The sequence below is a fragment of the Homo sapiens genome, chromosome 1 (genome assembly GCF_000001405.40).
Source record: "Homo sapiens chromosome 1, GRCh38.p14 Primary Assembly".
NCBI lineage: Eukaryota > Metazoa > Chordata > Mammalia > Primates > Hominidae > Homo > Homo sapiens.
The window spans coordinates 119,231,989-119,246,126 of record NC_000001.11 but is presented as its reverse complement, the minus strand read 5'-3'; the positions used below and the strand labels follow the sequence as shown (position 1 = coordinate 119,246,126).

Here is a 14,138-nt window from a genome sequence, read left to right as displayed (position 1 = left end):
GGTGGAGAGTGAATGGGAGAGAAAAAAAATGTGTGATGCAGATGTCTGAGAGTCCCATGCTTCCTGACAACACTCCCTTTGTGAAGCCAACAGTCTTTGGGGATGGAGAGCCTGAAGGGAGACTGTGTAGAATGCATCTACATTGCTCTGACACAGCCTTTCCTATTGCCATGGTGCTCAAAAGTTCCCTGAGCAAGGAGAAGCTCTTGGGCTGAGAAGAGACCCAGAGTCAGGGTCCAGCCACACCTTCAGCCTTGGCGAGCCAAGCAGAGGGAGCAAAGCAAGGGGCAAAAATGAGCTAAAAGAACACTAGCCGACCTGGGACAAACCTAGGGAATCAAAAAGGAGAAAGAGATGGAGAGGGAAAGGAAAAAGAAACAAGAAGAATTGAGAAGAGAGGGAGAGGGAAGGAATTCGATTGAATTCAATAGATATTTTATGTTAGCCTGTACTGGGGAGAAAAGAGTGGGATGTTTGTTTGTTTTTTCCGAGACAGAGTCTTGCTGTGTGGCCCAGGCTGGAGTGCAGTGGCACAATCTTGGCTCACTGCAACCTCCACCTCCCAGGTTCAAGTGAGACTCATGTCTCAGCCTCCTGAATAGCTGAGATTACAGGTGTGCACCAACACGCCTGGCTAATTTTTGTATTTTTAGTAGAGATGGGGTTTCGCCATGTTGTCAAGGCTGGTCTCAAACTCCTGGGCTCAAGCTATCCTCCTGCCTCAGATTCCCAAAGTGCTGGGATTATAGGCATGAGCCATGATGTCCTGTCAAAAAGAGTGTTTTTTTACAGAGCAAATGTATATGGAATCCAGTTCCTGCCCTATAGGAGCTTGCAGATATCAGGCCAGGTGCTGTGGCTCAAGCCTGTAATCCCAGCACCTTGGGAGGCTGAGGCAGGAGGATCACTTTAGCCCAGGAGTTTGAGACTAGCCTTGGTAACATAGGGGAGGCCCCACCTCTCCAAAAAAATTTTTTTTAATTAGCCAGGTGTGGTGGTGTGTGCCTGTAGCTCCAACTACTCAGGAGGCTGTGGTGGGAGGATTGCTTCAGCCTGGGAGGTTGAGGCTGCAGTAAGCCGTGATTGCTCCACTGCACTCCAGGCTGGGCAACAGAATGAGACCTTGTTTCAAAACAAAACAAAATCAGCCACACAACTCAGTCCTGCAACAGTCCATGACAGGGTGTAATTCCAGACATCAACGCCACGAGGTATGGTAAGGAGAGAGATGATGGTGGGGAGACTTTGTGGAGGTGGTGAGTCTTGAGACTGTCCTAGCAGGGTGGGTGCAATTGAGCTGGCAGAGGTACATTTCTGAATAAAATTGATAGTACAGAGAGGGAAGAGGAGGGGAGTGAGTAGGGGCACAGGGAGTAAGCAGTGGAAAGACAAACGGAAAGGAAGAGAGAATGGAAAATGAAGAGGGGCCCAGACTGCCACTCACAATTGCCATAAGCCACCTACCCTTACCTTTAGACCTTTTCATCCAAAGGAATTGGAATTAGAAGCTTCCTATGGGATCCTGGAAACCCCGGGAAATCCACCAACCCAGAAGCCCAGCTCCAGGCCCAGAGGGAAAAGAAGGAAAGAGGGCTGGTGCACACTGAACTTAAGTAGGAAACCTTCCCCTTTCCTGCTGACTTCAGCCAGCCTCACCACAGAGGTCCCCAGTCAGCAGATCTGGAGCCACCGACACATCTCAAAGCCTCCCGTGGGAGAGTCCCAAGGTGGCCATGGGACAGTCCATGATCTGTCTCTCTGCTATTATCCTTTTCTCTGTGGTTTCCAGTATTTCCCAGGGAGATAGGATTTTTTTTCCCATCTATTTTTTCCAGCTTTTTATTTTGAAAAATTCCACATCTTAACAAAAGTTGAAAATATACCATACTGAGCACAAGGTACACTTGAAATGTTTCACCAGTTATTATCATTTGATTCCATATGCGGTAGTATGCTGATAAACTGGATCTAGGATAGGAGAAACCCTCATTTGTAGTAATTGCCAATTTCTGTGGTGTAAGAATTCCCACCATGGATGATTTTTTTTTTTTTTTGAGATGGAGTCTTGCTCTGTCGCCCAGGCTGGTGTGCAGTGGCACGCTCTCAGCTCACTGCAAGCTCTGCCTCCTGGGCTCACACCATTCTCCCGCCTCACCTCCCAAGTAGCTGGGACTACAGGCGCCCACCACCATGCCCAGCTAATATTTTGTAGTTTTAGTAGAGACCAGGTTTCACTGTGCTAGCCAGGATGGTCTGGATCTTCTGACCTCGTGATCCACCCGCCTTGGCCTCCCAAAGTGCTGGGATTACAGGTGTGAGCCACCACGCCTGGCCCATGGATTATTTTGAGCAAATAATGACTTAACAAATGGCTTGCAAAATTCCTAAATATTTATCTGCTCTCGAGAGCTGGTAAGAGTTGGCTGCCGTTTATCACATTTTTTTCTGAACTGTTTAAAATTGCAGATATCGGAGCACTGAATCAAATACTTCAGATACATTTCCCAAGAATATAATGTTCTCTGACATAATCACATTATCACACTTAGGAAAAAAATTAGCAACACATGTCCTAATATTAGCTAATATACATTTCCCACTAAAATTTTCCAAACTGTCCCCAAAATGTCTTTTAATAGCATTTTTTTAAAAAATGAAAATCTAGCCAAGATTATATATTGCATTTGGTGTTTTGGTTAGTTTCTTTTATTATTATTTTAATCTTTTTATTTATTTATTTATTTTGAGACAGGGTCTCACTCTGTCACCCAAGCTGGAGTGCAGTGGTGAGATCTTAGCTCACTGCAACCCCTGCCTTCTGGGTTCAAGTGATTCTCATGCCTCAGCCACCTGAGTAACTGGAATTACAGGAGACCACCACCACACCTGGCTAATTTTTGTATTTTTAGTAGAGACGGGGTTTCACCATGTTGCCCAGGCTGGTCTTGTACTCCTGGCCTCTAGTGATCTGCCCGTCTCGGCCTCCGAAAGTGCTGGGATTACAGCTGTAAGCCATCGAGCCCAGTGGTTAGTTTCTTTTTAAAAATTTTTAATTTTTATTAGTGAATAATTGTACATTTATGGAGTAAAGAGATGTTTTGATATATATATACATTATGACATTATTACATCAAGCCAATTAACATATCTATCACCTCATATATTTATTTTTTTTTTGTTAGTGAGTACATTTAAAATCTATTCCTTTAGCAATTTTGAAATATATAACGCATTATTACTATGGTCACCTTACTGTGCAATAGATCTTGAAAACTTATTCTTCCTAATTGGAATTTTATACCCTTTGGTCAACTTATCCCTATTGCTTACCCTCCCTGCCCCCAGACTCTGGTAACCACCATTCTACGCTCTACTTTTCTTTAGTTTCTTTTAATCGGAAATGATCCCTCTATCTTCTTTTTTTTTTTTTTTTTTTTGAGACAGAGTCTCGTTCTTGTCTCCCAGTTTGGAGTGCAGTGGCGTGATCTTGGCTCACTGCAACCTCTGCTTCCCGGGTTCAAGTGATTCTCCTGCCTCAGCCTCCTGAGTAGCTGGCATTACAGGTGCCCGCCACCGTGCTCGGCTAATTTTTGTACTTTTAGTAGAGACGGGGTTTCGCCATGTTGGGCAGGCTGGTCTGGAACTCCTGACCTCAGGTGATCCACCTGCCTCAGCCTCCCAAAGTGCTGGAATTACAGGTGTGAGCCACCATGCTGGCCTATCTTCTTTTTCAGTTGTAGTTTTGTTTTTGTTTTTTAATGACATTGACCTTTTTGAAGACTCCAGGCCAATTGTCTATAGAATGTGCCACATTCTGGATTTACATGTTTGTTCTTCACAGTTAGATACAAGTTAAATATTTTTTGGTAAAAATATCCCATCAATGTATGTCATATCATGAATGCCTCTTATCAGAAGTCACACAGAATATCAGATTGTTCCAATATTGGTGATGCTAAGCTTGATCATTTAAAGTAGTAGCCACCAGGCTGGGCACGGTGGCTCATGCCTGTAATCCCAGCACTTTGGGAGGCCGAGGCGGGCAGGTCACCCGAGGTTGGGAGTTCGAGACCAGCCTGACCAACATAGAGAAACCCTGTCTCTACTAAAAATACAAAATTAGCCAGACGTGGCGGCGCATGCCTGTAATTCCAGCTACTCGGGAGGCTGAGGCAGGAGAATCACTTGAACCCGGGAGGCAGAGGTTGTGGTGAGCCGAGATTGTGTCATTGCACCCCAGCCTGGGCAACAAGAGTAAAACTCCCATCTCAAAAATAAAATAAAATAAAGTAGTAGGCACCAAATCTGTCATTTAAAAGGTATCTTTCCTCCTTTGTAATTAACAAATAATTTGTGGGATAATATACTGATGCTCTGTAAATATCCTAAAATGCCAAAACCTTTTACTCAGTGGTTGGTATCTGTTGATGATCCTTGCCTGAATCAATTGTTACATTAGAGGCCAAAATATTGTGATTTTCTAATTTTATCACTCTTCTACATTTATTAGATGGCTTTCTTTTTTTTTAGTATGCTCTTTTAGTATCATAATGGACTCAAGGACTTAAAAAAATTCAATGGATTATAATCCATTACTGTTGTTTCCTTCTTGATATTGAAATTACCCCAAATTTGGCCATTGGGAACCTCTTCAAACAGGATCCTGTGTCCTTTTGACATGACCCCATTGATCTTTAGGCCCTTCCTTTCTTTCTGGCACACCAGGACTCCCCAGGCTCATTTGTGTTTGCCCTGTAACAGAGCCAGAAGCACATATTTCTTCAGAGAGCCCTGATTTCTTTAGTGGGAAATGTTGCTTAGAAATCAAGATCTGGGTGCTAGCTGTGCTCACTGCTGCAGGAATATTATTGCTTTTCGATTTTTTTCAGTTGACGTGGTTGGGGGGAAATGTGTATATATGTATATACAATACATATTATATATAATATGTATTGTATGTCATATGTACATGTATGTATATAAATTAAATTATATATAGTGAATTCCCTAACCCCTATTATTTCAGAATATAACCTTATTTGGAGATAGGGTATTTACAGAGGTAATCAAGTAAAATGTGGTCATTAAGGTGGGTCCTAATCTAATAATTCTGGTGAAAGGGGAGATTCAGGTGCAGAGGTACATACAGAGGGAAGATGATCTGAAGACTCAGGGAAAAGATGGCCATCTGCCAGCCCAGGAGAGGGGCCTGGAACAGATCCTTCTCTCACAGCCCTCAGAAAGGACCGCCCTGCTGACACTCTGATTTTGGATAGAACCATGAGACAATACATTCCTGTTGTTTAAGCCACCAATTTTGTGGTAACTTGGTATGGCAACCCTAGCAAACTACTATGCTGCTATATACATTACCATAAGTTTATCAGCATCATCTTGAAACAGCACATATTTATTATCTTACATTTCTGTAGCAGTCTCACAAGGGTCACACCAGACTAAAATCTAAGTGTTGACAGGGCTGTAGTGCTTTCTGGAGTATCTAGGAGAGAATCTATTTACTTGCTCATTGAGGTTGTTGGAAGAATTTAGTTCCTTGTGGTTGTAGGACTAAGGTCCCCATTTTCTTGCTGTCCACTGAGGGCCTTTCCCAGCATCTAGAGGCCATCTGAGTGCCTTGGTACATGGCCCCTTTCCTTCATCTTCAAAACCAGCAAAGGCAGTTTGAGTCCTTCTGGTGCTTTGAATCTCTCCTGCTCCTGCCTCTTCTTCGCTGTTGCATCTTTCTTGCCTATGATTCTTCCCTCATCTTTCACTGTTAAGGGCCCATGTAAACTCACTGGGCCCACTGAGATAATCTGCAATAATTTTCCTATCTTAAGGTAACCTGAATTCCACCTGCTAAGTTGCTTTTGCCACGTAACATAACATAATCATAGGTTCCAGGTGTGGACACCTTGGAAAAAGGAGCATTATTCTGCCTACCATGTAGTGACACTGATATACTTACTTATTTGTTTTGTCCAACAGCATGCACAGAATAGTTTCAGAATGCCAGTAACATTATAATTATTTAAAAGTAACCAACTAAGTAAAGTTAAAATTTCTTTGGAATTACTTTTATCTCTAGAACATTTCCCACTGAGGTAGTGAACACAGAGTACTATATTCAGAATTTTACTTGAATTCTTTTCTCTGTGTGGTGAGGTTATCAATGTGATATACAGCTAGATTCATTTGTTTGCTTTTGTATTTGATTTAAGGTTTGTTTATTTTTCATCTTTTCATATTTAATTTTATTTTGTGAATAAGTAAGACATTTCTATAACTCAGAAGTCAAAACTATATGAAAAGGTATTCCTAGAGAAGTCTCATTTCCATCCCGACCCCAGCTCCTGGTTTCTAAGGACTGGTCTGCTTCTCTGATTGCTTGTTCTGATGGTCACTGCTGTTACAGAAGTCAAATTACTAACATATCAATAGAAATATGTGTTAGTACAAGTCTATCATCATTTTCATCAACTATAGTCATTTATTGCAGATTAAATACTGAGAACAAAAAAGAAGAGAGCAGTCCCTGCCCTAGGGTGTGACAGTCTTCTTGGAGAAATAGACCTGAAGTGCAACAGAGAACCACAGGCAAAGTAGGCTCCACGTATGATGAAAGGTTTACCCCCAATGTGTGGTGACCCTGGATGATTCCTCATGATTAGGCCTCCTAAGAAAAACTTCGTGGAGGATGTAAGACTTGATTCAGAGCATTTTAAGAAAGAAAAATGACATAAACAAAGGCAAAAAGGTGTATACCAGAGTGTTTGGGAAACAATTAGCCAACCAGTCTGGAGGATGGAGCAAGCACTGGAGTTGGACCACAGGGAACTGGCTCCAGGTTCAAATGCTGCCCATGTGACCGTGGGCAAGGATTTGCTCCACCGACACCCTTCTCAGTTTCCCTACCTACAAAATGGAGATAAGACTAAGTATTAAGCCATTCTCAGAACAGGTTGATTAAAAAGCAGAGTTTCTTTATAGAAATACTGGGGTAGGGTGGGGGAAGTTGGAGAATCAGGTTTGAAGCACATCACATAGAACCTTCATTATGAGGCTAAGAAGTTTGGATTCTGTCTTATAGGCAATAGAAGCCAAAGGGAGGATTTTTTTTAAACATATGTAATAAATGAATTTTTTTATTACTTATGAGTAAATAAAACATTTACTCATGAGTACATAAAGTATACTTTGACTTTGGTTAGTAATATTATAGGTATATATTTCTGTAACTTGTTCTTTTTTTACTAAGTTATATATTCCAATGATCTCTCCTTGCTAATACTTTTGTTCTTTAACCAATGCATTGTATTTCACAGGATACATCAGTCTAATCTATTTAGCAACTTTTTATCATTGGCTCTTGTTCACACAAAGGTACTTCCTTAGAAAGGGTATTTCTATATCAGTGGCTCCCAAATTCTAAACACGCATTAGAATCACTTGGAGGTCTTGTTATAACACAAATTCCTGGATCTCACCCCCAGAAATTCTGATTTAATAGGTAAGTGGTGGGGCCTGAGATCATGCATTTTAACAAGTTCTCAGATGATATTGATGCTGTTGGTCTATATCAAACTTTGAGAACCATCTTTCTATATGATGGACTCTTAGAATTATTGGGCCAAAGCTTATGTGAATTTGTCACTTTGATGAAACCTGCACATCACCTTCCACAAAGATTGTTATCAGTTTGCATTCCCACTGACAATTGTATGAGCATGCCATTTCCCTGCCAACCCTGGTTATGATAACTTTTACTTTTTTGCCAATGAAATTGTAAAAACTGGAAGCTCATTATTGTTTTATTTTTCACTACTCTGAGTGTATTTTTCTTATTTTTATAGTAGCTTTTTTATCTTTTTACAAGAATAATCCTTACTACAAAAAATTTTAAGGACTACAGATAAGCAAAAGATAAAATCATTCATAATTCTGCCACACGCAGATCACCACTTTTTTTTTTTTTTTTTTTTGAGGCAGAGTCTTGCTCTGTTGCCCAGGCTGGAGTGCTGTGGCATGATCTCAGCTCACTGCAACCTCTGCCTCCTGGGTTCAAGTGATTCTCCTGCCTCAGCCTCCCAAGTAGCTGGGTTTACTGCACACCACCATGCCCAGCTAATTTTGTATTTTTAATAGAGACGGGGTTTCGCCATGTTGGCCAGGCTGGCCTCGAACTCCTGACCTCAGGTGATCAGCCCGCCTCAGCCTCCCAAAGTGACGGGATTACAAGCGTGAGCCACTGCACCTGGCCCAGATCACCAATATTAACATTCTATGTATTTTGTAATCTGTTTTCTTTTCACTTAATAACATACTCTGAACATTTTTTCCATATCATGTCATTAACTGTTATTTTCCATTATCAGCCTAAATGGCTGCATGGTGTCAATGGAGGGTTTCTGAATGAGAGCTGACATTGCAAAATGATGTTTTGAGAAGATTATCTAGCAGCAGGATTTAGAATGGGAAAAGACAAGGAAAGTTTGGAGGCAAGAAATTAGGAGACTATTAAAATAATGTAGGAGAGTGGTGACAGTGGGACTGGATAGACAGGAGTGAACACAGGAAACATTAGAAAGAAAGAATCAACAGTCTTGTTAGCCTCTATGATGGAAGCGAGGAAAGATGCAAGGCTAATCCAGCAGGAGGTCCCCAGTTACTAGGATCATAAATTTAAGAGATGCCTTACAAGGAACAATCACTCTTCCAATCTCTGATCCATGAATTTATCTTGGTATAGGGGATGAAGGGATAAAGTTAACTTTATAGTGGAAGAATTTCATTTAGGAAAGCAGCAGACTTTAAATCACAGAGCCCAGGTTTGATGCCCCCCATTTTAGTGTAAGTATTAATTATTTGAGAGATCCTACGGTGAGGTGGAAAGACTTCAGTATTAGACAGCATTGTGCCTTACTGCTTTGCCACTTCTTGTGACCTTCAGCAAACCTCCTAACCACCTTGAACTTTTTTGTCTGTAGAGAGTAATAATGTTTACTTCATAGGGTGGTTGCAAGAATTAAGTGAGATTATATATATATATCTATCTCATATATACATATATCATATATATCATATATGTATGAGAAACTTGCGAATCATCCCGTAACTCAGCTCTCCCTAGAGAATCACTCATGGCCGACCTAGACATGTTTGCTTGTCAGTGAAATGAAGCTCATTGATGAAATAAAGTGAGTTCTGAAACAGGTCCTTCCATGGGTAGCTGTCTGCACTGGCATGCAGAGTGGGCTGTGGCTGACTTCCTGAGCTTAGGCTTTGAGGGGTGCTGTGGATGGCTGGAGAGATTCTCTGTGTGCTGGACAACTCCAGAGGTGCCTTGAGAACGTTGCAGAGATGTACACAGCAGAAGCAATGGAGACTTGAAATCAGTGTTGACAAGCTTGGTCCTTACCCTTTCTTATTTCCTTCATCTTCTACCAGCTCACAAGGAACTCAGGCTCAATGTTACCTCTAGTTTCAGTATAGATACTGAAAAAAATAAGTATGCAGGCAAACAATTCAATCCTTCTCAGTTAAGTCTTTTCTTCCTTAAAGTGGAGATATTACCATGGCAAATCTGAAGGGCAAATGAGATGTTGCATTTGAACGTGCCTAGCATAATATCCAAGAGGAGTGGACACATTGTTGAGTTTCCTTTGGGAACCTCTGTAAAGCTATCTCCCTATAGGGCAGCAGTAAGTCAACCATGCCAGAAAATGTTTCAGCTGCCTGGTAACCATCTAGTCTATGATTAACGGAGACATCAAAATAGCCATCATCTCCTACTCCTAACCAACAAGTCTCTGACACAGAAAGAAAGACAAAATATCCATTTTCCTAACTTAACTCCCATCCCTCAAGGTTGGAAAAAGGGAAAACTTAGATCCAGTCACCAATACCCAATTTGCCTTATATGACAATACATGACATGTCATGTATTTCTACAATACCTTATTTGCCTTAGATGACTTGTCATTTATTTCTACAATACCTTATTTGCCTTAGATGACATGTCATTTATTTCTACATGGCAGCCAACAAATGATTGCCAGGAACACTGGTGACTGTGGATCTGGGCAGAGGGGTCTGCCAGAGAAAGTAAACCATTTATTTACTCAGTATCTACTGAGCTGTTGTAAGTCCTTGTGTAACCTTATCTTCACAACAAGCCTATGAAATGGGTGGTATTATAATCATTTTGCAGATGAGGAAACCAAGACTCAGAAAGATTAAGTCGAGGTACAGCATACTAGGTGGCAGCTACCTCCCCCTTTTCCATCTTGCTTTTAATTTAGTTTTTCAACACATATTCCTATCATCTTGATTGCTTTATAGACCAACAATCCTTTAATCTACCCTAAAGAAGAAGCAGTATAGACCTGATTTCCATCTTTGAATCAGTCTGTCCAATTTCATCCAATTTCAAGCTAAGTGCAAGTTAAATTCAGTGTGTGTAGCATTAAATTCTACTGTCTACTAAAATATTAAACCTTGTTATTCTAGTAAGTACTGTCAAGCCCACATTGATGAGATAGTGAATAGTAAAGGTGGCATTATTGTAATTTTTAAGTTAAAGCCTGATTTGTTTGCTCATTTTTTAAAAAGCAAATTCTCATATAGTATGAACCAGTCCCTGAATTTTTTTAAACAATTATGTTTTTAAAAGTGAAATGAATGGAAATATGCTGTTTCCTGCTGTTTTCCCCACTCCTTTGCTCTCTTTCCCACCCCGTGTGCATATATTATACATTTCTTTCTTCCAGAGATGCTCACAGCTGTTTCTCTTCCTCTCTCTTGAGCTCTCTAGGCAGCTTTCATTCTTTCACTTAAGCATGCTTGGAGCCTCATGGAAACTCCCCCACAGTATGATTGCTTCCACACTTTCATATGCTTTAAGGAATATCAGCTGAGAACTGCTTATTGATCCCAAGTGGGGAATCCTCTCTTACAAAGCCGTTGGCCATTGATGAAGAAATGTTAAGGCATCCTTGTCCTTGTCCTTGTCCACTTCCAGTTCCTCATGCTGATGCCTCCCAAACTAGGCCCACCCTCAGCTCAGAGCCTCCTTTTCTAAATATTTCTGGTGGAGCTGCTTTTTCTATTTCTCAGACTCTGATCAATGGAACCACTTGGTCATTCTAGTTTTAAATTAGATTGCTATCCAGTTTAGGGATTTTATTTTGAAATCCAAATATGGAAAAGAGTTAGTTGCTCCCCAAGTGCTTAAAGTCTTAAGAGACAAGGTTTCCATCTGCTCAGGTAGCATCACCGGCTCATGTCTTCTTCCACCCACCAAGCAGCAGGAACACTGAGTGGCTGGGCCAGGGTATAGCAGGCAGACGTCGCAGATCATGCTATTCTTGTTTGGCAGAGCCAGCTTTACTGTAGCCTTGTCAGTGCTCAGTACTGCAGGAAGAAATGAAGGAAGGAGCCAGCATGTTTGGAGTGCTTGTTTTGCTCTAGGAAGTATCCACAACCTCTTGAGAAGATTCAATCCCACAATCCTAGAAAGTGAAGACTTTCCAAGGACCTCTCTCCTACCATCACTGTTTTACCAATGAGAAAATTGAGCCCCAAAAGTTGAATGGTTTGCCCAAGCCCACACAGCACATAAGTAAAAGTGACAGATGGCAGCCTAGCCCTCTGACTCCTAATTCAGTGCATTTTGCATTTCTCCACAGCTGGCAGGTGTTCCACATACTAAAAGCTCACATTGGAAATGAATTTGGTGCATTGGAAAGTGGCACTGTGATGCCTGCAATCGTTTAATTGTTACATATCAACATGACTAATATTCCAAAGGTGATGCTTCTTTTCTGCCCAGGCACTGACCTTGGAAGCTGCTGCCTGGGCGGCAGCCATGATATCCACACTCTCTGCATCCCCTTAGGTCTGGGTAACTGAGTCAGAAAAAAATATAGCACACTTTCTGAATGGTATGCCTTTTGTCACAAAAAATTAATTTTTATTAAGCAACTAAAACTAAAGACTTACACTCTAGCAGGATGACATTTAAAAGATAGTAAGTAAAATTTGGAGCAAGGGTTTTAAAAAAAATAGAGTTCAAAATAGAAATGAGTTAACCTCTTAGCCTTTCCCTCATTTCTGTATACTGCTTTAAAAAAGAATGCTTAGCTATTCTTTTCATCTACATTATTAGGTAATAAAGTATTCCTCTCCCTGACATTAAAAGTTTGCCTGTAGGATTTTTCATCTAAGGAAATATGTAATCTCTCACTAATTTTTGGCTAATCCCAAGAAGAATTCTTCTTTACTTCTCCATGTATGCCCTTTCTAATTTATGTTAAAAAATCCTTTTGATGTTATTATTAAAACCAAAATGAAAAATTCTAGCTTATAACAAAATTAATTCTTAAAATACATTGAGATGAAGCATTATGTGGTTTTTAGATACATTAGATGATGTCTTCACAGGTATTCAGACCATCTACAATCCTCTAAAATTCCCATGAATATTTTTCAAATACCTCTATTCCAGTATCTTGTCACCTTTCTTGGATGAGTGATTTCTAAAACATTGTTTATTCATCGTTGCAGAACAATGGCCCCAGAACCACAGTGGCAAGAATGACTTACAGACCAAACAATTACATTGAAATCACTAAGGTATAGCAGTTGACTCCTTAGGATGAAGACAGACACCTAGAGAAGTAAAAAAGATATACTCATCAGCCAATCATTCAGCAAGTATTTACTGTGAGGTGTTTCAGTCAAGGCTCTTTGATTGTAGGGCCAGCTAGTTTAAATAAAGATAGAGACTGTTGTAAAGGTATCAAGATCTCATGTGAATTGGAGCGGGGAACTGGAAGGCCACAGGGAGCTGAGACAAACCTTCACACATCACTCCATCTCGGAATACAGGATTCCCCATCTTTGATCCTGTTTGTGCAGCTCCATCCTCCTCTCAGGACATTGTGGTTTTCTCTTGACTTATGGATTCTGCTTCCCCATTCTCCAGCCTGAATCTGAATTTGGCTTGCCATACTGTGGGTTCAGGTCCTAATTCTGCTAGTCCTTTCAGCCTGATTACCACAGATGATTAGCTCCAATGCTGAGTGTCCCAAATTTCAGAAAGGGGAATGTGATTAGCCCAGGTTGGATCAGGAGCAGTCCAGTCTGCTGTGGCCATGGAGTCGTGTTTTATAAGCATGGCCATCTCAGGACGCCTTTCATCAAGGGCAAGAATTTGGGGCAGTTACCAGGGAAAAAAGATGTGGGCTGCTTACTGTGAGCACCAACTATGTGTTCTTTCTAGTGCAGTGTGGTGGAACAAAGCTCAGGTATTAGATAGAGTCCATGTAAACATGGCATTCAAATCTAAGTTTTACCACTTGCTAATTCTTCTGGACAAGTTAATTAACTTTCCATTTTAATTTCTTAATCTGTAGAATGGGAACAATAACAGCCTCAGAGTGTTATAGTGAAGATTAAATAAGATGATGTTTGCCAACTGTTTGGCACCGGAAAGTACTAAAAACAATGCTAGTTTTCTTTAGTTCTTGTATATGCTAGGCTATATGCTAAATTTAGAAGTAATACATCTAATAAGGGTTTTCATGACACGTGGAAAGCACGTATCACATTAACATTTGGACTGCTGAAAAACCAAGAATTCTCTATAACAAAGAGGAAGGATATTAAACAAATAGATACTACCCCAACATCTCTCTTTTTGGCACCAAATAACAATATGAGTGACTAACATTTGCTTAATGCTGTACAGCATAAAAGGTGTTTTCTTTCTTTTCTTTTCTTTTTTTTTTGAGGTGGAGCCTCACTCTGTTACCCAGGCTGGAGTGCAGTAGTGTGATCTTGGCTCACTGCAACCTCCACCTCCTGAGTTCAAGCCATTCTCCTGCGTCAGCCTCCCGAGTAGCTGGGATTACAGGCATGCACCATAACACCCAGCTGTTTTTTGTATTTTTACTAGAGCCAATGTTTCTCCATGTTGGCCAGGCTGGTCTCGAACTCCTGACCTCAAGTAATCCACCTGCCTCGGCCTCCCAAAGTTCTGGGATTACAGGTGTGAGCAACTGGGCCCGGCCATAGGTGATTTTCACTTTCTTTTTGTTCTCTTTTCATTCTCCCTACAACCCTGTGAGACTGATACA

General features: G+C 40.9%; 1 long non-coding RNA gene across 2 annotated transcripts in view; it reads right to left on the bottom strand.

The window, feature by feature from the left end:
• Positions 1–14,138, bottom strand: part of WARS2-AS1 (WARS2 antisense RNA 1) — a 135,578-nt gene that overhangs the window by 29,847 nt on the left and 91,593 nt on the right. Inside the window, exon 5 of one of the 2 annotated variants that reach the window (NR_125976.1) lies at positions 11,949–12,669. The exons of the other annotated variant lie outside the window; for it this stretch is intronic. This is a non-coding gene — a long non-coding RNA (WARS2 antisense RNA 1). Of the gene's footprint in view, positions 1–11,948; positions 12,670–14,138 lie in introns of those variants that run through there. 2 annotated transcript variants of the gene reach the window in all.